Source organism: Homo sapiens, chromosome 17, assembly GCF_000001405.40.
Source record: "Homo sapiens chromosome 17, GRCh38.p14 Primary Assembly".
NCBI lineage: Eukaryota > Metazoa > Chordata > Mammalia > Primates > Hominidae > Homo > Homo sapiens.
Window position 1 is genome coordinate 56,636,071 of NC_000017.11, and position 22,431 is coordinate 56,658,501.

The 22,431-nt window shown below is 43.2% G+C and overlaps 2 annotated features.

Annotated features, from left to right (window-relative positions):
* Window positions 2,107-2,607: an enhancer, noted in NCBI's record as "H3K4me1 hESC enhancer chr17:54715538-54716038 (GRCh37/hg19 assembly coordinates)". NCBI's record gives its function as "activates a minimal SCP1, AML or CMV promoter by ChIP-STARR-seq in naive H9 embryonic stem cells {active_cell/tissue: H9 hESC(naive)}" and the evidence as "EXISTENCE:reporter gene assay evidence [ECO:0000049][PMID:30033119]".
* Window positions 2,608-3,108: an enhancer, noted in NCBI's record as "H3K4me1 hESC enhancer chr17:54716039-54716539 (GRCh37/hg19 assembly coordinates)". NCBI's record gives its function as "activates a minimal SCP1, AML or CMV promoter by ChIP-STARR-seq in naive H9 embryonic stem cells {active_cell/tissue: H9 hESC(naive)}" and the evidence as "EXISTENCE:reporter gene assay evidence [ECO:0000049][PMID:30033119]".

Sequence of the window (22,431 nt, forward strand, 5' to 3'; positions counted from 1 at the left end):
AACTAAAAGAACACCAGGTCACCCAAGAAGTAACTAGCTTCATCCTATAAGAAATATACCCTTTCAGAATTTTGCAGGAACACTTTGGGGATATATGGTTTTAAGTCAATGGCATTTTCATAAAATAATAACAGTATTCTGGTGGTTGCTTTAAATATACATTATATCTCATTGAATATTTGTATCAGTTCTATGGAGTAGGTGTCCATAGAAGAGGGGACAGAGTTCTTAAACACTCACCCAAATTTGCACAGCTCATGGTGAAAGAGCCAGGATTTGAACATTCCCTTGTGGATCTGTCTGATTCTAAAGTATATTCTCTTTCTCCTCCACCCCATGGCCTCTGTCCTTGTATGTTGAAATAACTTTTCATTCTCATCAGGAGCTGCAGTCAGAAGATGAAGGAATGAAAATGGGGCGGGGTAGGGTGTGTGGGAAACGGGGCCAAGAATCCCTGTCCTTTCTGAAATGAGTAGAAACATTCCAATTCCATTTTTACTGTCTATTGCATTGTAAAAGCATAAAGGCTTCAGCCAAACCCCTAAATATTTAAAGAGTAACAGAACTCCAGATTAAATTAATATCCACGTTCAAACAGTAGCTGCAATGGGGCAATTGCCAAGTTATTTCTACCCTCATGAGAAAGGAAAGAAAGAAAATATTAGCCGGGACCTTCGATCTGGAGCGCTGAAATCAGATCCCAACAGGGCAATTCTGTGCTGGGGAGCTTTAGTACAATCAAATCTTTTCATGTTTCAACTCAGCCTACTCCTTTCTCACTGGGCTCCTGGCTAACAGCTTCCCTCCAGCGACGCTGAATTGGTACCAAAGTGATCTGGACTGTTTTGACACTAAGCATCAATTCCACAGACTTGGTTTTCATCGACAAATCAATTATTCTAGCTCATTACAAGGCCAGAGTGAGTTTTCCCATCAGAATAGAAACTTTCATTCATTCTGCCTTTCATTTGCCCAGGAAGGAAAAACAAAGGAAGGCAGGAGGGAGCTATGCTCAAGTTATTAGAGAATGCCCACATGTTTTCTCCCTGGGACAGAACCCAGAGAGATGAAATGTCACTGAGCCAACTATGCAGAGTTCCAGGAGGAGGATTTGGGCTTCCTGAGAACAGCCCAATCTGTCTGCATCATCTCCATCTCAGAGCCACCAAGAGGCACCCCTGATAGAAGCTTCAGAAAAGCAGAGAGAGAGGAGCGGGTTGGCTTGGCAGAAGGTGAAATCAAGCCACAGAGGAAAGCTGTGGGATAAAAGCTGTATTAGATTCCAGCCCTTCTCCTGCAAGGAGACAATCGCCCCAACACCATAAGCAGCCCATTAGAGAGAGCACCCGCTATGTACCGGGTCCCAAGACAGGCACATGCATTGCAATCCTCCCAATGCCTTCCACTGGGAGTCAGTATAAGAAGCACAGTCCAGCGCAACAAGGAACTGCTCTCCACTTATTCCCAGTCTATGACCCGGAAGAGAGGACCCCTGGGAAAAAAGACTGCGAGCGACTTCAATGTCAAGGAAAGTTGCTCTCCAGAGAAACCATTTACTTTATTTTATTTTATTTTATTTTATTTTATTTTATTTTATTATTTTATTTTATATTTTTTGAGACAGAGTATCTCTCTTTCACCCAGGCTAGAGCATAGTGGCATGATCTCGGCTCACTGCAACCTCCACCTCCCAGATGCAAGCGATTCTCCTTGCCTCAGCCTCCCAAGTAGCTGAAACTGCAGGCGTGCACCACCATGCCCAGCTAATTTTTGTATATTTAGTAGAGATGGGGTTTCACCATGTTGGCCAGGCTGGTCTTGAGCTCCTGACCTCAGATGATCCACCCACCTCAGCCTCCCAAAGTGCTGGGATTACAGGCATGAGCCACTGCACCCAGCCAAAGCCATTTTTTTAATAGACAACATGAATCTTCTCAATGATGTCTTCTGCTTTATTCTGGCCAACTAAAAGCTCAGAAACAAATTTACTAAACAACTTTAATAATTGTGCAAGATTCCAAGTTGTGCATGCCTGTGTACTAACCCTGCCTTCGCTTCATATTTCTGTTCAGCCCTTCTTTTCTTTTTGCCATGGTTTCTTTAATACACTACATTTTTTAAAAGAGCTGTCTTGTCTCCTGTCTGGAAAGAAAAGAAGTATAAGGGATCAAATCAATCTTCCATTAAATAAATAAACAAAATGCAAACTTTGGTTTTATTCTCACAAAGCCTGTTGGGACAGTGATCATTGTCCTCAAGTTTTGGCTGAGAAGATTCTGGCACAGAGAGCTTAAGTAACTTACCCAAAGTCACACAGCTAATAAGGGACATGGCCAAGATGCTAACTCATGTTTTTCTGACTTAAAAGCCCATGCTCTTTCCACTGCCCTGTGCTGCCAGATATTACCCCCAAAGCTTTCCCTGGCCTCTTGATCTAGGAGGTCTCAAGGCCTCAGGACCTTTCAGAGTCCAAGAGTCGAGCATAGAACCAGCCACTGCTCCCATCTTCTCCCCTTTCACCAGGACAGGACAAGAGGACACAGGTGCAGGCTCCAACTCCACATCCCAATCCAGCCCAAGCCTGGCCAGTCTTGAGCCAGCATGTCAAGGGCTTGGCGCCTTCATTCCGGAGCCCGCATGTGCTGGGAGGAAAGCCTCATGCATGTGTTTCTGATTTGCATGCATCCCGCCTGGTCTCCACAGAGCCATTCCAAGTCCGAGAAGCTGTGGGAGCCTTTTTTATTTTTTTACACACACCCCCCTTCTCTTCCTATCCCTCTCTCTGACAGCTTTTCTCTTTGAATCAGAGAACTAGACTCTGCCAAGTGAAAATGTAACTCAAACCTCAAAGGGCTCAACAGCCTCTAGAAACTCGCAAGGCACGATCACCCTAGAGATGCAGCGCTCTGCTGTCGGGACTCCCGCTGGGCGCAGCTCTCTGCCTGCCAGAGGGTGGGGTGGGGGCAGGGGGAGACTGCACTAGGATCTGGGTATTTTTAGTTGATAATGATTTTAAATGGCCTTGAGCCTTCGGCCTAGAGGTAGGAGTGATTTCTCCACTTTATAGGCAAGTAAGTGAGACTCTGAGAGTTTAAGACCCCTTTATTTATTTAGCGCCTACTATGTGCTGAGTGCTATACATACACATCTCTCCATCCTCACAGTAATCCAGGAGGGCAGGTGGCAGCTTCCAAGGGGGTGCCATCTTCCCTTCATCACACAGCTTGTAAAAAGTGAAGTCTGAACTCAAACCCAGGACTATGTGATTCCAAAGAATTTTTTTCTACCGTGCAGCAGGGCATCCAGAGAAGGTGGGGAGCACCCCAAGAGCCGCTAGCAGGGAAATGGGGGCACGCACTTAAAACCACCCAATATTTCCCCTGAGCATCACAAACAAGCAAAAGATTCACCAAGCCAAGCCTGTTATCTATCTACTTGCCAGGGAGGAATTGAGCATTCCCGGCAGGTGAGTTTATCTGGAAATGGCTTTCCCAAGGAGGTGAGTCCTAGGCTGGACTGTGGAGGATGGGGAGCAGCAGCCACTGAGGGCAAGCGGCTAAAGTGAGCAGTATTTGTCTTTGAGACCCCTTTCCCGAGTCACCACCACCACCGCTGCCACCAAGACTGGCTACATCATTTCCTGGCATAATGCCAAATGAAAATGTGGGGCCTCATGTTCAAAAACTATTCTATTCAGGATGGTGACAGGAGAACATTAACCAAGCACAGAGCCCTGTGTAGCTGCTCAGGAGGATGCCCGTGAAGCAGGCCCTCGGTGACTCCCTCCATATCCACTTCAGAGCCTAGGAGCCACCTTGCAGATCATCCAGTCCCAGAAGCCCAGAGGGACTGCACAAGGCTTAGGAGCTCATAGGTGGTCTGGCAGGGACCATCCCCAACATACCTGTGTCCCCATCTAGGGCTCTCTCCAAATATGCCATTGCCTACCTAATCTGATCTCAAGCAGGCTTGTAAATACCTGTTGATTTAATTCCATTGGGGAACAAAAAGTGATATTCATTCACAACCAAGTGTGAATAATCAGTACCAGTTTAAACTGTGACCCTCCCACAGGGATTTTCATTTTCACAGAGATCAAAGCTTTAAGCTCAAGAAATACACTTCACTTGTTGGCCCTTTAGGCATCAAAGAGTAGATGAGGAGGGGTGCTGGGGACAGAAGAGATAAGGCATTTACCTGCCCCACCCATGGGTCAGGCCAATCCCAGAGAGGCAATACATAGAGAGGCCTGGAGCTAGATCTTAGGGACCCCTGCTGGCTTCTCGCAGTGGTTCAAACAAGGACTTAATTTTCATCACGAGGTCTTACTCCGGCTACTGGCCACTGCACTCTCCACCACAGCAAATCTCTCTCTATGCGAAGCTAGGCCTCCCACAACTTTGGCTTTTCCCCCAACCTTGGTGTGGGATCAATTCTTTCCCAAAACCAGAGGTGAAAAAGGAAAGGAGAGAGGGGGAGGAAACAGGATGGAGGGCAGATGGGAGGAAGGAAAGGGGGGACAGAAGAAAGGAAAAACATTCATTTTGCTTTTAATTGATTGTAAGCTTCATGAGGACAGAGACCATAGCTGACTTATTCCCCCGGAGTCTAAGGCAACCAAGGCAGCCCGTGCAATGCCTGATATACTATAGGTGCTCAATAAATATTATGGATGGGGGAACAGATGGACTGATAGCTGGTGGATGCATAGGTGTACATGTAGATGGATGGACATGTGGATGGATGAGTAGATGGATGGATGGATGGATGGATGGATGAATTGATGGAGAGTCAGTAGGTGAACGGATGAAAGGATGATGAACAGTCGTGTACATCAATGGGTTAATGGATGGATGGGTCGATAGATGGGTCAGGGGATGGATGAAATGCTAGGCCCTTTTTTTTGTTCATTTATGTCTTTTTATGCTTCAAACACTGCCTTGAATTCCCTTTGAACAAAGTAGTGGTTTAAACAAGAAAACTATCCCTCATTAGCTCTGTGAGTTAAGTATTATGATTATCCTGTAATTCAGATGGGGAACCCATGACTCTGAGAGGCAAAACATCTTGTGCAAGGTCACCTCTTTTCTAGCTAGGAAGGGGCCCAGCCAGGTTCCAAATCTTGATCTGTATAAGTTGACCCAAAACTCTCTCCACTGTACTAGCATGCTAAAGAGGCTGAGCATTTACCTGGGGGCATTCCACAGCATTTTCTACTTAAACTTAACCCTGAACATCTGAGCCCCAATATCTGCTCCACCCTCAAGGACACAGGCACAGTCAGTATCTTTTCTAATAACATTCATTTACACTCCTTGATACATCACATTTCTTTTCTGGAATATTCCAACTAACACCTCTTGTCCCTCAGAGATGAATGGACCAGGCTGGGTAAGGCAGGGCATGAAGTCTTTCTAACACAAAACCAAATCATATAAGTAAGGGCAGTGTCCCAGTGGTCTGTCAGCTCAGCTTTCTGCTACTCTGATCCTGATTCTGATCTCCATACCCCAAATGCACATAAATGCAAAATTATGTACACACACAGACTCCATGTGTGTACATAATTTTGCTTTTATTGATTGTAAGCTTCATGAGAACAGATACCATAGCTGATTTATTCCCCCAGAGAACAAGTGGTCTAATTCATTGTGTTGTGATATTCACTGTTTTGCATGTGTCAACTCTTCATAGTCCAATGCCTGGGCTCCACAAAGTCATACAAACTCTGACTCTATCTTTGTGAGCATGGTATGCAGCTTCTAAGAAGTCTCCCAAAGGTCTTGCCTCCTGAAATTTATGACCTTTTAAAATTCCCTCCCCTTGAGCATGAGTTGGATCTAGTGACTTTCTTCTAGTGAATAGAGTGTGGATGTCTCTTCCAAGATTAGGTTACCAAAAGATTCTGGCTTCTGCTTTGTTCACCTCCTTTGCCTTCTTGCTTGCTCGCTCTCATTGCAGGCCAGCTGCCATGTTTATGAAGCAGGGCAGCCTCAGCCACCAGACAGTGAGGAACTGAGACTCTCAGTCCAACAGCCTGAAAGGAACTGAACCCTGCCAACAACCTCCCGAGTGAGATTGGAAGCAGATTCTTCCCCCTGAGGCTTGAGATGATGATAGCCCCAGCACCCAAGACCCTGGGCCAGAGGACTCTGCTAAGCCACACCCAGAATCCTGCCCCACAGAAACTGTGAAATAATAAGTGTTTGTTCCTTTAACCACTGAATTTAAAGGAGGGGGGTAATTTATTATACCAGCGTAAATAACCACACCAGCATAGATATCTAATACTAACAACTAATCTGATACCTACTGAACATTTGCTCTTTGCCAATAACTCTAAGAGAAAAGAGAGATGATCCACTCCGTCTCCTCTAAATATTTTCAATCTGTGAGTCAGCTAGTAAGAATAGATCATTATAATTCACCTAAAAATTATGGTAAAGTTGTTATTCATTGGCAGAGTAAACAAACAAGGCAAGTCACATGGCCAAACCCAAAGTTAAGGGGAAGGGAAATATATTCCCACCTCTTTGGTGGGAGGAACTGCAAAGTCACGTGACAAAGAATATAGCTACAGGAAGGAATGAGGAATTAGAACCTGAAATGCAATCTACTCTAAAGGCCTATGGCAGTTTAGAAGAACAAACATACATACATTTAATTTGGCATAAAAGGGAGCCTGGGAGGAAATGTATCAAACGTAGACACTGGGTGATGGGGGATTACACATGATCCCTATTCCTTCTTTATGTTTTTTCTATCTCCAAATATTCTACAATGATTGTGTTTTCATTTAAAGTAAGAAAAAAATGTTACTAAAAATATGAGAAGGGCCTTGGGGCATGAAAAAGGGGGAAATTATTTCTGGCTGAGAGAGCCAGAGCACCTAAAGGCAGGTAACATGGAGCTGGCATTGAAAAATAAGTTCTTCAGCATAGGAGTGTGATAAGGCTGTTTTAGATCCAGAAAACAGAATAAGCCCCTAATCCAGGAGTGGGACTTGCCTGAAAGCTGTTATGACAGTGAGTACACCTTAGCCAGGGGCATCGATAGGTAAGTGACTAGCAGTGGTGAACTCACCTTGTCGAAAGCAGAGTAGGGAAGAATCGAGTATTATGCCAAGAGTCTCAAACATCAGACACAGAAGGGATTTTAGACAGCAAAACAGCCCCTTCATTTTGTTCAGTTGGACCATATGAAATTACTGATATTTGGTCGTTTTTAACCTCAGAATATAGCAATTTCATATGGTCCAACCTAATATCAAGGAGGAAATCGAACTTAAAGAGGGTGCGTGATTTTTGCACAGCCACAGAGAAAGTATCAAAGCCAGAATATGTTCAATGCCATTTAAAGAGTAAGGAAATGAGGATGAGTCCAATATGTTTAAGCCTCCCCTATGAGTAGGTCAGATGAGGGCAGGTTTGGTGAGGGATATCTTAGAACCTCAGAAATGCCAACCGTGGAGGGTTTTACTGTGTACACATTGTCAGGCTCCTAGTAAAGGAAGCACTTAATATTCACTGTCATCCTAAATAAAGCAGGTGCCTCTGGCTTTGTCTTTAAAGACCTTCTGCAGAAAAGCATGAGGTGAGCAGGGTTGTAGAAGTTCCTTGTAGGCAGAGAGGATATCACATTCTTCTCTGTGGTGTCTACAGGTCATAGCACAATTCTAGGTAGGAGGCCACTGTTCAATCATGTCTGCCAAATCCAATGCCAGCTATCTCTTCACTTCCATCCTCCTAGGTGCTGGGGCTCAGCCAGCTGTCACTGCTTTATCTCCCACTGTCCCAGGTCAGAAGAAGTCTTTCTGATCTTGTTCTGTAACTTTTATTTTTAGTTAAGAAGCTTTGGTGGCAGGGGGTGGGGCCAAGAGAAGCAAGGATAGGGACAGTGCAGTCATCAAGGGGTCTGAAGCTCAGGGGTGGCTCCTCTGAGCCACTTTTTGTATTGCATTTAGAAAACATAGGTTTTTATAAGAAAACAAGGGGCAAATCCATCCCTATCCCGGGGGGATTTGGGAGCAAGCATTAGCCTCCTAAGAGGGTTCACAAGTTTATACTTAGTCTCTCTCTCTCTCTTTTTCTCTCTCTCTCTGACACACACACATACACGCACACACACACACAAGCACACACCCCTTTCGTATCAAGCACCAGGTTGAGTAGGTCAGAAAGGAATGGTACCATTGTTCCCTGTTTATGCCTGCTTTTCAAGAGACTGCCCCAGAAAGTCACTTCTCTACCCTTCCCCTACCTGAAAATGAGATTAGAACTTGCCCTTGATTTTGCCCCAGGACCGGTCCAGCTCAGAATGCTCACAGCAGGGCCATTCAACACCCACTAATCATTTCTTCCTATCTTCCCATGAGATTATAATACCCTGGGCTCTGGCTCCTGGTACAGCCTGACTGTGTTAGGCCCCGACACTCTCCAGCCACTGCGAAATACCCTGGAAAAAACAGGTCCTGGAAAAAAAAAAAGATCTCCTTAAGGAGCTGCAGCCTCAAACTCCTATTTCACCAATGATATTGGTGGGGTTGGGGGGAGGGAATATAGGGATTGAGTTGACCTGGAAGAAGGGGGATCTGGAAGTAGCCCTTCCTAGGTCCTCTGCACATTGCAGACCTCTGCCCTAATGTAAGCTGCACATGGGGGGACTCCGGCCCTTGAAAATTCCTCCTCCCATTTGACAGGGCCAAGCCAGGCACCCAGCAACAACCCAGTCCCTCAGGAACCCCAACTGCAAACTTCCAAGCCTCTCCTGAATCAGAGTGTCTCAGCTTCACCTTCTGATTGCCCACGAAAAGGAGACTGGCCCACCTCTGAGTTACATCCAGCCAAGCTTCAGGCTTGGGACCCACTTGCCTCTCTTTCTCTTCCCAGCTCTTGTTTCCACCAAACAGAGCTTCTCCTGAATGTGGGCTGTAGCACTAAAGCCTCAGAGAAGAGGTTGATTCTCTGATTCTTTCCAGCTGTCAGAGAGGCCAGCTAAGAATAACTGCACCCAAAATAGTACTTGGGATGATTTAGGTGTGGCTCAGCCCAGAGGCAGGTGGATGGACTAGATGACCTGTGGGAGTCTTGTACCCTCCTTGGACACCTCATTCATTCAAAAAAAATATGCTGAACACCTACTATGTGCCAGGCACTAGGCTATGTGCTGGGGATGCAATGTGAAGAAAATACATGGAGCTCTCAGTTCAATAAGTAAACCACAGCCCCACCTCTGCCCTCATCCCCTCCCCTGCTGTAGTCTGCTTCTGTAGGTACTGCCTCTGTGCTATAGCACTATGTTCAAACCTCTGGCCTAGCTTGTAACACCATTTTATACTTAACCATCTCTTCAGTGGCTCCCCTACTAGATTCTGAATTCTGGAGACAAGAATCATTTCTGTATCCCCAGAGCTTGGTACATTGACTGGCCCATTGTAGATGTAGAATAAAGATAAATGGGTGAATGGATAGATGGATCGATGGATAATGGGTGGATAAATAGATGGATGGATCAAGTACTTTATGGAGATCTTGACTAGTATGAGTTTTCTTCTATCTGCTTCTTTTGTGGACTCCATTTGGTTTGGCTCTACTATACAGATTTAGGCCATATGAATTTTAAATATAAGACGTCTAAACTGAACATCTGAGGGAGCATAACGATGGAAAAAGCAGTGTATGGCATACAGGCTGAGGCTTCTTACTCCCACACCAGTGGCCTGCTAAGTCCGGACATGCCCTCAGAGTCCTTCTTAACACAGTTCATAGGACATTTGCAGCCTACCACTAAAAGTGTTAGGTATGTTAAAGCTTGTTTGCCATCCATGAACTAGGAGATCAGATTTGGCAAGGGGAGGCAGAGGTTAGGCTCTGATAGATCACTGAAATCAAATGACAGGTTTGATGCTCCTAAAATGAAGTCTTCAATGAACAGTCCTGTGCTATTGGAGCTGACACTAAGAAGTACTTACAAAATACATTGGCATTTGCATCCAGATGCTAGTTAATGATTTTTGTCCTATTTATTGATTAATGGATTGCTTACTTATTTCCACAAGAAACTCTGGAATTCCCAAAGTTCCCCATGGAATCTCAGAACTTCCAAAGCCATCCCTAGAGAGGATGAAATTCTAATTATGTCACCATCTCGCTCAGAGCCCCTATGGCTCTCCATCACCTACATGAAAAAATTGCAGCTCCGTAGCAGGCTATTCCCAACCCTCCATAAAATCCAAGGTACAGCCACAGTGGACTGCCTGCCAATCAGCCACTTTCTACAATGAGAACTTTGCCTTCACTTTCTCCTTCCCTAGGAATCCTGATTCCCCATCTCTTCCTCGTTTAAATATGCACGTTCTTGTGACAACATGGAAATGCTTCTGGCCAGGAGCGATGGCTCATGCCTGTAACCCCTTTGGGAGGCCGAGGTGGGTGGATCACTTGAGGACAGGAGTTCGAGACCAGCGTGGCCAACATGGTGAAACCCCATCTCTACTAAAAATACAAAAATTAGTCGGGCTTGATGCTGGCATGTAGTCCCAGCTACTCAGGAGGCTGAGGCAGGAGAATCACTTGAACCTCAGAGGTTGAGGTTGCAGTGAGCAGAGATTGTGCCACTGCACTCCAGCCTGGGTGACAGAGCGAGACTCAGTAAGAAAAGAAAAATGCTTCCAATTAATGATTCACTTAAAAAAAAACACAAGAATGTCTGCTTAATATGATAGCACATGATGTGACAAACAATAGTTATGAAGAAGCAATAGCAGAGAAAAAGCTGACAAGAAAAGCGGCCAAATGCCAACCAAACTAAAGTTGGTGGTATGAAAATGTGAGTAATATTTCTTCTTTATTCTATTTTCTAAATGGCTTCTAAGGTAGTTCTGTTGCTTTTCTATTGAGATCATTAGATTCAGCCAACGTCTACTACAGGACGGGAATTAAGATATTTCTAAACCTTACATCTCTACCACAGCCCAGTCCAAATATTACTACCTTGAAGATGCTTTCCACGACTAGCCTCTGACTGTCCCAAACCCGTAAGACACAGAATCTTACCCCTCTGTGTCTCATAGACCTTCATTAATATCTATTAAAGGAGTTACCAGGCTCAGTCTTAAATCATAGATGATTTTATGCATTCCTGTCTCCAGCTTTGTGATGGTATGACTTTTTTTAATTAATAAATGAAAGAATGGTCATGTTTTTAGCCTGCACTTGTGTTAGAAAATATGATATAATATAATATAATATAATATAATATAATACAAATTATTACATTCTCATAACTACTTTTTTACCCCTTCTCAATATCTTCCCCAACCTCCAAAAATTATTCCAAATCCCAGGCATTATTTGTCAAGACCAAAAGGTAGGGATATTCAGGGTAGAGACTGCCCAGATCTAGCACATATTGGCCTTTAAAACAAGTAAAAATAACTACTTAGGTAATTAATTTGTGGGAAATATTAAAACCTACTCTTGGTTGGAAGCTGTACACTTATCTGTGGAATTTAAGCATTCAGCCCGTTGGATGAAGAATTAGGTGTGCCAATGATACTGACAATAATAAGAGAATGTGCCTTCACTCCCAACTGAGACTGTGCAGAATTACCCATCGGACTCACACAGGTATGGCATAATTGGTGGAGGATTATTTGTTTGAACTTGCAAAATGGATTTCTGAAATGTTTGAGCTGGTGCTAGAAGTGTTTTCAAAGTGCCTGTATACTCACCTTAAACACACACATTATTAAGGGATTTCATTTGACATTTAACAATTTTGTATATTAATATTGCCCTCCTTCCCCTAAATGGCCTAATCTGTCTAAATCCACAGCATCAAAAGTCATTACACAGAAAGAACAAGATGTTGCCAGAGCCACTATGGCCCAGCATTGAATTTGCGTGAGCTGAGATGATTCAGGGAGATTTATATCCTGTTATTTCCTGAACTCAGAGCAAAACCTCACAGGTTCAAGATTTTGAAAAGCATTTGTCTGAGCAATCTCACTTCATCACTTTGAAAGGGATGGTGTCTCTGCCATCTGCTTAAGCAGCAATGCCTTCATGAAAAGGAAAAAAATCTCCCTCTCCTCTCTCTCTCTCTCTCTCTCTCTCTCCAGCTAAGTATGTGAACACTAGGGTGAATTCCAAGGCCTATGGCCACTGGGAAAACAGGATCTTTACTCAATCTTCCTTCCCCTGGAAAATTTTCTTTTACTTCTTCCCTGGGTTCCTATGACATGGAAAGAAAATTGCAGAGAGTTTAGGCGGCACTTTGGATTCTGAAATCATTGCTTTGTTCTCACTAGCAAATGACATAAAGGTTCAGACTAGAGTAGTGGTTTTAATCATTTTTGAGCCACACACACTTTTGAGAATCCGACGAGAACTATGTGTTCTCTCACTAAAGAAAACTAGATATGTGAATATGCGCGAAGTTTTGCTTGCAAATATAGGTGGTTCTTGGTGGTGAATTACTCATCCATGACTTTCTCAAGGATCTATGAACCCCAGCTTAAATATCTCTGATCTAAATAACCAACACTTGCATGGCTCTTTGGTTTACAAAGTATTTTCAAATCTGTCTCTCATTTGACAACTTAGTAAACTTGTCACCCACTTCACTTTCATACAAAAAAAAATATGTTGTCAACCTGGCTCACAAGAAATGTATTTTGACTTGCTGCTCTCAAATCTTAATTTTCATCCACCCTGCATATTAAATTGCACTTTGAAAATTTAGATTCTATTTGTTATATTTGTAAAACTAACTTGTTGCTGTTAATTTCTTTGTATTGTTTGTTTGTTTTACTATTAATGTGGAAAGATCACAGGCTGCATTCAAAGGGCTGGGCTGGCATCTGGATGCTACCATCGCCAAACACCTACAGGGAAGGTCCAGAGGATTTCATGAGTCACACTAGGATTCTCCTCCTAGTCCCCAGCGGGCATGTCAGTATCTTGGAACACATTTCAGTATACCTATTGTTTCCATAAAACAAACTACAAAGAGGAGTCAAGCTACAAAATATTCCAGACTAGTGGCACTGAGCAGAAGATAGAATAAGAAAGAGTTTCAGGTAGCAGGAGTTGTTTTGTTTTGTTTTTTTGAGACAGAGTCTCACTCTGTCATCCAGGTTGGAGTGCAGTGGCACAATCCCAGCTCACTGCAACCTCCGCCTCCCAGGTTCAAGCAATTCTCCTGCCTCAGCCTCCCAAGTAGCTGGGATTACAGACACATGCCACCAAGCCTGGCTAATTTTTTGTATTTTTAGTAGAGACAGGGTTTCACCATGTTAGCCAGGCTGGTCTCGAAGTCCCGACTTCATGTGATCCGCCTGCCTCGGCCTCCCAAAGTGCTGAGATTACAGGCATGAGCCACTGTACCTGGCCATGAAGTTTTATTTTAATGATTTCTTAACTGCTGAGATAATGATTTGAAGTGTCTATCCCAATGTTAGTTTCCTAGTCCTCTATCTTTGAGTGGGAGGCTATGAAATTAAAGAACCCAATTGTTTTACCAAATATTCTGAATTATTAATAGATTATCAGAACGAAGGCATGGATGCTGTCACAGGCTAAATATGAACCTGGCCAGAATCCAAGCCTCTTACCACCTGGAAGAACCTACTGGACCACCACTTACACATTGCCTAATATCTCTGCTCCAAAGCGCTACCCCATCTTTGCTCACTGCATCCCAGCCTTCTGCCCAGCTGGGCTGTTGGCTGAATGTGGTCAGGGCCAGAATGAAAAGTAGGCAAAGTGGACAGCTTAAGGACCTCCTGTATCTTTGTCTCCAGCCTCAGATGGAGAGTCCAGGGCCAGAGCTCACCTATACAGTACCTTATTATTATTATTATTATTATTATTATTATTATACTTTAAGTTCTAGGGTACATGTGCACAACGTGCAGGTTTGTTATATAAGTATACGTGTGCCATGTTGGTTTGCTGCACCCATCAACTCGTCATTTACATTAGGTAATTCTCCTAATGCTATCCCTCCAACCCCCCGACAGGCCCCAGTGTGTAATGTTCCCCACCCTCTGTCCATGTGTTCTCGTTGTTCAACTCCCACCTATGAGTAAGAACATGTGGTGTTTGGTTCTCTGTCCTTGTGATAGTTTGCTTAGAATGATGGTTTCCAGCTTCATCCATGTCCCTGCAAAGGACATGAACTCATCCTTTTTTAAGGCTGCATAGTATTCCACGGTGTATATATGCCACATTTTCTTAATCTAGTCTATCACTGATGGATATTTGGGTTGGTTCCAAGTCTTTGCTATTGTGAATAGTACCACAATAAACATACGAGTACATGTGTCTTTATAGTAGCATGATTTATAATCCTTTGGGTATATACCCAGTAATGGGATCACTGTGACTTAGAATAAGATGCCTCCTCTGGGAGAACTGATTAGAAAAGGTAGTCCAACTAGCCTGCCCCAACCCGGAAGGCACACGACTTGACAATCAGAAGGACTGAATTTCAGCCTTTGTGCTCCCCAAGACCTGGTGCTTTTGATCAGTTAATAGACTGAATAACCTGGGAGCAAGCCTCCCCTTCAGGTCACAGTTATTCTTCTTGCAGAGGACTTAGGCCTATGAGCATAGGAGTCAACAACCCCAAACAGGGAGGAGGCCAAATGGCTCCAGTCTGGGATTAGATGCTACAAACCCTGCTCTTTAGTGCTGCTGTTATTGACCATCATCATGCATTTAATTAACAAATAATTAATGAGCCCATTCCATATACCAGCTACATGAAGTAAATTGAGTAGGTTTTCATTTGCTTCTTACAAAATCTCAGCAAGATAATAATTATTATTCCCATTTTGTAAGGAAGTAAACTGAGGCTCAGAGAGACTAGGTCATTTGCTCAAGGTCATACAGCTAATAAATGGCAGGACTGGGATGCAAACCCACTTGTGTCTGACTTCACAGTCTCCTGTGGACCCACCCTATGCCTTAAGCCAGTGATTGTCAAACCTGGTTGTATGCTGGACTAACCTGCAGAGGTTTTAAATCATATCCATACCTGTGCCTCTCACAGAGATATTTATTTAACTTGTTTGGGGTAGCATTGGGCATCAGGGTTTTCGTTATTGTTTGAAATCTTCCCTGGTAGTTCCAATGTGCATCCAGGGTTAAGAACCACAGACCTGGGTGAATTGCCATCCTAGTCACACTCAACCCATTTCCTTCCAAATATCCAAAGAGACAGGTGTTCAGCCAGAGTGAAATTTGATATGGCCTCAGACAAGATTCCCATTTCCAAAGTGTAACTCCACTCCCTGCCTTTCCTTTAGACCTTGAATGTTTCCAGTGTCCCCATTTTTTAATATTAAATGATACCTAATTATTCTGATGCATCTTAGTGGGTACTAGCTGCCAACCAATAACAAGAATAGAGTTTGTTGTTGTTATTGTTGTTGTTGTTGTTGTTGTTGTTGTTGTTAAGATGGAATCTCACTCTGTCACCCAGGCTGGACTGCAGTGTAGTGATCTCAGCTCACTACAACCTCCATCTCCTGGGTTCAAGCAATTCTCATGCCTCAGCCTCTCAGTAGCTGGGATCACAGGTACCTGCCACCACACCCAGATAACTTTTGTATTTTTAGTAGAGACAGGGTTTCACCATGCTGACCAGGCTGGTCTTGAACTTCTGACCTCAAGTGATCTGCCTGCATCGGCCTCCGAAAGTGTTGGGATTACAGGTGTGAGCCACCACACCTGGCCAAGAATAGAGTATTAAAAAGGAGGTTGGTGGGGTGGGAACAACCGGGAAACAGGGAAAACAACAGTAGAGGAGATAACTGAGTTTGGGGCTTCTTTGTTACTCAGCATTATTGCAGCAATAGCTGACTGACATATCACCAAACCATGTTTTAGTTAACATCTATTTAATAGCCAATTGAACAAACATTTCAAGGAATACATTTTAGAAAGTGCTTCTCTAGGAATATCTGAGGCAAGTCCAGCATTCCCAGCTTTATGTGCCTCCTTAGCCTCACCGTTCAGAGGGCACGGCCTTTGTTTAGTGTTTAATATGGGTGGCTCATCTCCCTGCACAATAGTAATACAATAATAATAATAGCAGACCTATGGTCCTGTTCTAAGCACTATACAAGTTATAACTCAACTGCTCTTCAGGGTAGGTATATCTACTTCCCCTATTTTACAGATTAGGAAACGGAAGCACAGAGAGGTGAAATAACTTGCCCAGGGTTACCCAGACAGACAACCTGACACCAGAGTATATGTCCTTCATTTTGGCCTCATGACAGTTTTCCTCAAGACTCTGTCTGCCTATTTTCTCTGCCCCACTCAGGGTCATATTTCTGAGGGTCACTCGAGCACTGCTTCATCCCTCTCTGCCTAGCCTAGTGTAGTCAAGGCACCTTAGCAAGTGTCGGGAGAGAGAAAGAGCCCTTGTCTGATAATTACAAGGTCTAGGGTCTCACTGCAGGACTGCTACTAAGTGGCTACAAATCCTGAGCAAGTTATTTTCCTCTCTGGGTTTAAGTTTCCTTCTTTTCAAATGAGGGCTCTACATTGAATCATCTATAAAGATTCTGAAAAGTCCTGCAATAAATCGAACTAACTCACCAGGATTCCCTAAACTAAAAATGACCACGGTGGTAGATTGCATTATTGCTCCCAATTTTTCACCCCTCCCTGTATCCACAATCTCTGCCATGACTTTGCAGTTCCTGCCACTAGAGGTGGAGTATATTTCCCTGCTTTGTTAATACTGGGCTTGGCCATGTGACTTAGTCTGGGCAATGGGATGTTAATGGGCATGACCTGAGAAAAGGCTTGAAATATATTTATGCAGGTTAGTTTGCCCACTTATTCTTCCATAACCATGAGAAAACCATGCCCTGGGAAGCCTACTGATCCCAGAAGAATGAGAGACTTGTGGAGCAGAGGCATTCCATCCAGCTGCCCCACAGGTCTGTAGGCATACTTTAAAAATAGTCATAAATATTATTGTCAGCAACTCAGTTTGGGGCTGCTTTGTTACTCAGCATTATTGCAGCAATAGCTAACTGATATACCACCAAACCATATTTTAGTTAACATCTATTAAATGGCCAATTGAACAAATGTTCCAAGGAGCACATTTTAAGAAGTGCTCCTCTAGGAATATCTGAGGCAAGTCCAGCATTCCCAGCTTTATGTGCCTTCCTTAGCCTCACCATTCAAAGGGCACAGCCTTTGCTTAGTGTTTAATATGGGCAGCTGATCTCCCTGCACAAACTAAAGCTCCCTGAAGGCAAGAACTTTTCAAGATCATCTTTCTATGCCCAATGCCTGGCACAGAGCCTAGCATACAATAGGTGCCCAATAAATGTTGGTTAAATGAAAAAAAAAGTGGAAATGATGGCCCTGTCATCGTTGTAACTGTATGGGCCTCTGTTTTGTCCCAGGAATGTGAACAAGATGATCTCTAAGTATCTTCCCATTTTCAATGCCTTGGAGTTAAGCAATCAACATCCCTTCTTTAATAAACCATCTGTGACGACTGGAAGCCCAGACTGGAAGCCTCCATGCCAACCTTGCCATGTCCACTCTTGATTTCCGGTTTCATTTTATCTATTAATTCAGCCACCATTTACTCTGCTCTTATTAAGTGCTTCTGTTGTGGACATAACAAACATGCAAGACACACTCTCTGCACTGGAGAAGCTTAGAGTTTCTGCCAGTCTAATTGGCACTGAGATTTGAGGCTCAAAGTCCTTAGACAGAGACATGCAGAGGAAGGTCAGTCACCCAAAGTTACAGAGCAGGAGGTGGCATGGCCAAACTCGAACCCTAGGCCTCAGAGGCCCTATTTACTGCCCTCTCCTCCTGAGTCCAGACAGTAAACCATCCTGCCTTTGGTGGAAATCCAAGAAAGTCAGCTTGTCCTGGCATGGAGCGTCTAACTAATTAAGCATCTTTCTCTCCCTCTCAGGCAACTCTGAAGGCTCCTCAAGCAAATTTGGGGATTTCCCAGAGGGGGCCAGGCTCTTGTCACTTCAGCAATAATATCCTTTCACACCCTCTAGTGGTTAGAGGGCAACCCGACATCCTGGAGGAATGAGGTGACTCCCCTGGGCCTATAAAGTGAGCCTGTTTTACTAAACACAGTCCTCTGGGAAAGCAATTTGGCAATAAGTATCAAAAGCCATAAACACAGTCCTACCCTTTAACCCAGTAATTCCACTTCTGGGACTCTATTCCAAGGTGATAATCCAAAAATAAAGGCAAAGTCTGTTAGCACAATGATGTTCATTGCCTCATTGTTTATAATATCTAAAATTAGTAAATATCCTAAGTGACCAAAAATAGGGAAATGGTTAAGCAAATTATGGCACCTCTACACAAAAGAGTAAGTATTATGAAGCCACTTAAAATGATGGGAAGTGGCATGGTAAAATAGCAGGGATATGAATATGGAAATTAAGAGGGACCAATTTGGTTTCTATCAGTTGGTTACTGCTGACAAGCTACTTAAGCCCTCTGAGCCTCAGTTTCTCATCTATAAAATAGAGCTAATGACACCCACCTTGAAAATGGAAAAGATTAGGTAAGAAACTGTGTGCAGAGTCCCTAGCACCATACTGGGCACACAGCAGATATATAATAAATGGAATTGTTACTACTGTTATTCCTAAGCTTTAAAATTATGTTACAACAGGAAAAATACATCTGAAACCACAGTAAGCAAAGAGAAAACAGCAAAATAGTATGTTCACTATGCAAAACAAAGAAAGAAACATAGGAAGAAAACTTCTGAAAGATATACATCAAATGCTGACAACGAGTTGTTTTTTCCCCCAGCAAAAATTTCTTGAGTAGAATGTGCTCAGAACTGAGTGTGCATTCAAGATACGAAGATTAAAGACAGCATGCTAAGGAACTCACAGTCCACTAGGTGATTCAGTTAAGTCAACGGGCAGCACAGATGAAAGCAGGTAAAGGGGAGGTCTCAAGAAAGGTTAGCTTGAAGTAGTAGCTGAGCTGGCTCTTGAAGTCTGATACACTTTTCCGAATCTTCCAAGAGGGTGTCATCTTATTTTGCAGAGTTTAGTTTCCTGACACTCACCCAGCTTCCACCTACGTAACGCATTTGGGAATGGCTGAGGAGAAGAGTTGAGAGGAGGTTAGTAGAGACAAAGCGTATTAGTTTTTACTGCACCCCATACCCAACATAATCCTGCAAAATCTTCAGTCCTTCCTATATAGGGAAGTTCCCTAAAAGAGGCACAGATAGTGATATGCCAAACCAGCAAGCAAAACACAGGAAGGAGTTGAGGTCATTTCTTCTCTCTCACTGTATTAGCTACTTTGAATTTTCCAGAGAGACTCATGAGTATCAACCAAAGTTTTACATTATTTTGCAAGGTTTTCTCCCCTGGCTGTTGTAGCAATAAGGAACAAGCCCTGCAAGCCTCTTTGACTCTACACTAAATGTAACAGATGTTACCAGTGTTTCTAAGGTCTCCAGCCTGGAAAACACTAGGATCATGAAGGCAGGAAGGAAGCAGTTCTTCCTTGGCCCCCTCTCAAGAGAAAGATCATTGAAATTGCAGCCCCAATCCAAATCTCCTCTCTAGATCAAGAGGTTAAAGTCATGGGGGTCTCACAAATTGCCCTCGTTTTCTTCTATTCCCATTTGATCTCTAGGTTTCTGGGTCTTAAGGGTAGGACCTGGATAATTTGAGGTGCTCAGAGAATTCAGATATCATTGTAACTGCCAGCCTCATTCCCTGGATAATTCATCCATTACCTTCCAAATCCCTTCTGTCCATCTCAGAGAAGTAGTTCTCTGTCCCACTTACTGTTGCTGCATAACACATCTCCCCAAGCTCAGTGGTATATATAGCTTTTTAAAAATACCAATGGTTTTGTTATGTCCAGGGATTCTCTCTAAGTCAGAAGTTTTTAAAGGACACATAGAGTAAATGACTCTTTTTCATGTCTCTAGGGTCTCAGCCGAAAAGATTCATGTTGGAGCTGACTTGAAGGCTGGCAGGTGGAATCATCTTAAAGCGTATCTGGTAGGTAATGCTGGCTGTAGACTGGGACTTCAGCAGTGGATGTCAGCAGGAACACCTACACATGGCCTTTCCATGTGGCTGCTTGGGCTTCCTCACATCATGGTGCCTGGATCCCAGGAGTTAGCCTTCCAAAAGAGCCAAGCCTTGAGTCACATGCCATCATTTCTGCTATAGTCACAACCCATCCATTTTATGCTGGGTCACAAGTGGTCTTTGGGCCACTGATACCACGAAGAGTGTTCTTCTCTCTTTTCACAGCTCCCACCCCCAGAGGACTGTGGAACTTATTTCATGGGAACCAGGCCAGAGTATCACTAGCACTCCCCAAACTTGTTCCTAAGTCATTTACACATCAAGTTATGACATCTTCTCCCACCAAACTGTTCCCATTCCCCACATCCAGTACAAAGTCTTAGGAGGACAAGGTAACCCTTTTTTATCACTATCTAAGAAGTCTTAGTCCAAAAGCTCATTATCAGCCCCAAAATGTTAAGGCACATAAGCCTTTCCCATTAAGACAAAACAAAACAAAGCAAAACCCTAGTAGACTCACCTGGCCACCCCTCTGGTGTATACCAGATATATATGAATTGGCTGAAGCCCAGGCCTGCACAAGTGAAGTCAAGTGAGGAGGAAAGTCTTTGAGGATGTGGCTACATAAAACCCTAAAGATGGCTTTAGTGCATAGCACCCTGGGAATCTCAAATTGGAAAGAAGTTGTTTGACATATAGAAGTAGGCCCCATTTGAAGAAAATCCAGTTGGCAATAATCCAAGCTTTTAACCACAAATTTTTTAAATGCAGGGGTGACTTCCTCACTTTCTATCAAAAATGATGCTTTTATTAAAGGAACTTCCTTGAAGGATTTAAGTGTTGGTTTATAAATTGGCAGCAACTAAGAGGCAGAAAAATATAAAACTAAGAATTGGGCTCACAGCCAATCAAGGACGAATCACAAATCAAGACTAACTTCTGAAGCTAAACACCCAGCATTGTGGAAGTGGGATTAGCTTTACACACATGCGCGTACGCTTTAAATGACAAACCGGGAACCCATTCATTATGTAAAGTCAAGCATTCCTATGATGTGGACCTGGCACTGCATCCCAGGCCTGCTGAGTAACATGAACAAATGCAAAGAAGCAGTAGGACAAGGACAGCATGTTTATGGAAAGTGGAGGGAATGAACATGCCTAGGGAAGAGACTCTTGTGTCAGGAAGCAGGTGAACATAAAGTTGGCCAGGTAGGGTGGGGCCACTTTTGCAGGCCAAGATGTTTTTCCTCCAAGAGGAGCATGATCAAAGAGGAGTTTTTGGAAGATTAATCTGGTAGAAGCACCTGAGGACAGTATTGAGACAGGGACAGCAGCTATGGAGTTTTCACAGCCATGAAGCTGTGAGGGGAAGAAGGAGGAGCTGGTGGTCTCTCTCCATGAGAAAGGCATAAAGGAAAATGGCACATGTATTCAGCCAGGCTCAGATTTTACTGCAAGCCTTTTCATCTTTGGAACAATGATATTTCTAAACTATTTCCTAAGAACCATCTTTTCTGGGACTCTAAGTCCCTCTTGAACTGTCTTTCCAGCTTCTAAAACTCCACATTCTTAGGAGAGGGAGTAAGGTGGGTTAAATCCAAGGTTGTTCAAGACATAGATGAAGATTAATGGGGACTAGTAATTATTTAAACAAACCTATGGGTCCTTAAGCCTCCAAGAACAGAGTCATCTTTCAAACCTGGACTCTAAGGAGGCCATGTTCCAATGACAAATAATCAAACAATCAAGTCTTCATATTTCTTTGGGGACTACCTTCAGAGTCTTCAATATATCCATTTTAAACATAGCCATATCATATTTTAACAATATTGCTGTTGTTGTTGTTTTAAGAAATAACCACAAGCCAAATCTGGTAGAGAAAGAGATAATCACTCAAGCTAGGTAATGGCCCTTTGGGTTAAAACAAACAAATAAACAAAACAGGTGGGACTTGGAAGAAATACATTGAGACAAAGTGAGTGAGAGTGTTTTCTTATCTTTATCATCTCTGCTATATGTGTAATGATATCTCATTCTTCATTCATATTATTTATCTGCACCTTTGCTCACTTCATCTTGACCAATATTGCTAGTTTGTCTTACTTTAAAGTCTTTTCAAAGATCTAACTTGGAGGTACAGGAAATTAAAAAGTAAAGAACAACAAAAAATGCAATTGATTTCCTTGTGCAATTGTAAACTGGCTGAGAAGAAAATTTCCCCAAAAAGAAGTTGTAAAAAAGATTTTGAGTAAGAGTAGTAGTTCAATTTGGCTAACACTAAATGAAGACTCTCTGCAAAGATGTCATTGTTTTCATCAACAGGACTCGGATGCAGGTAAAAAG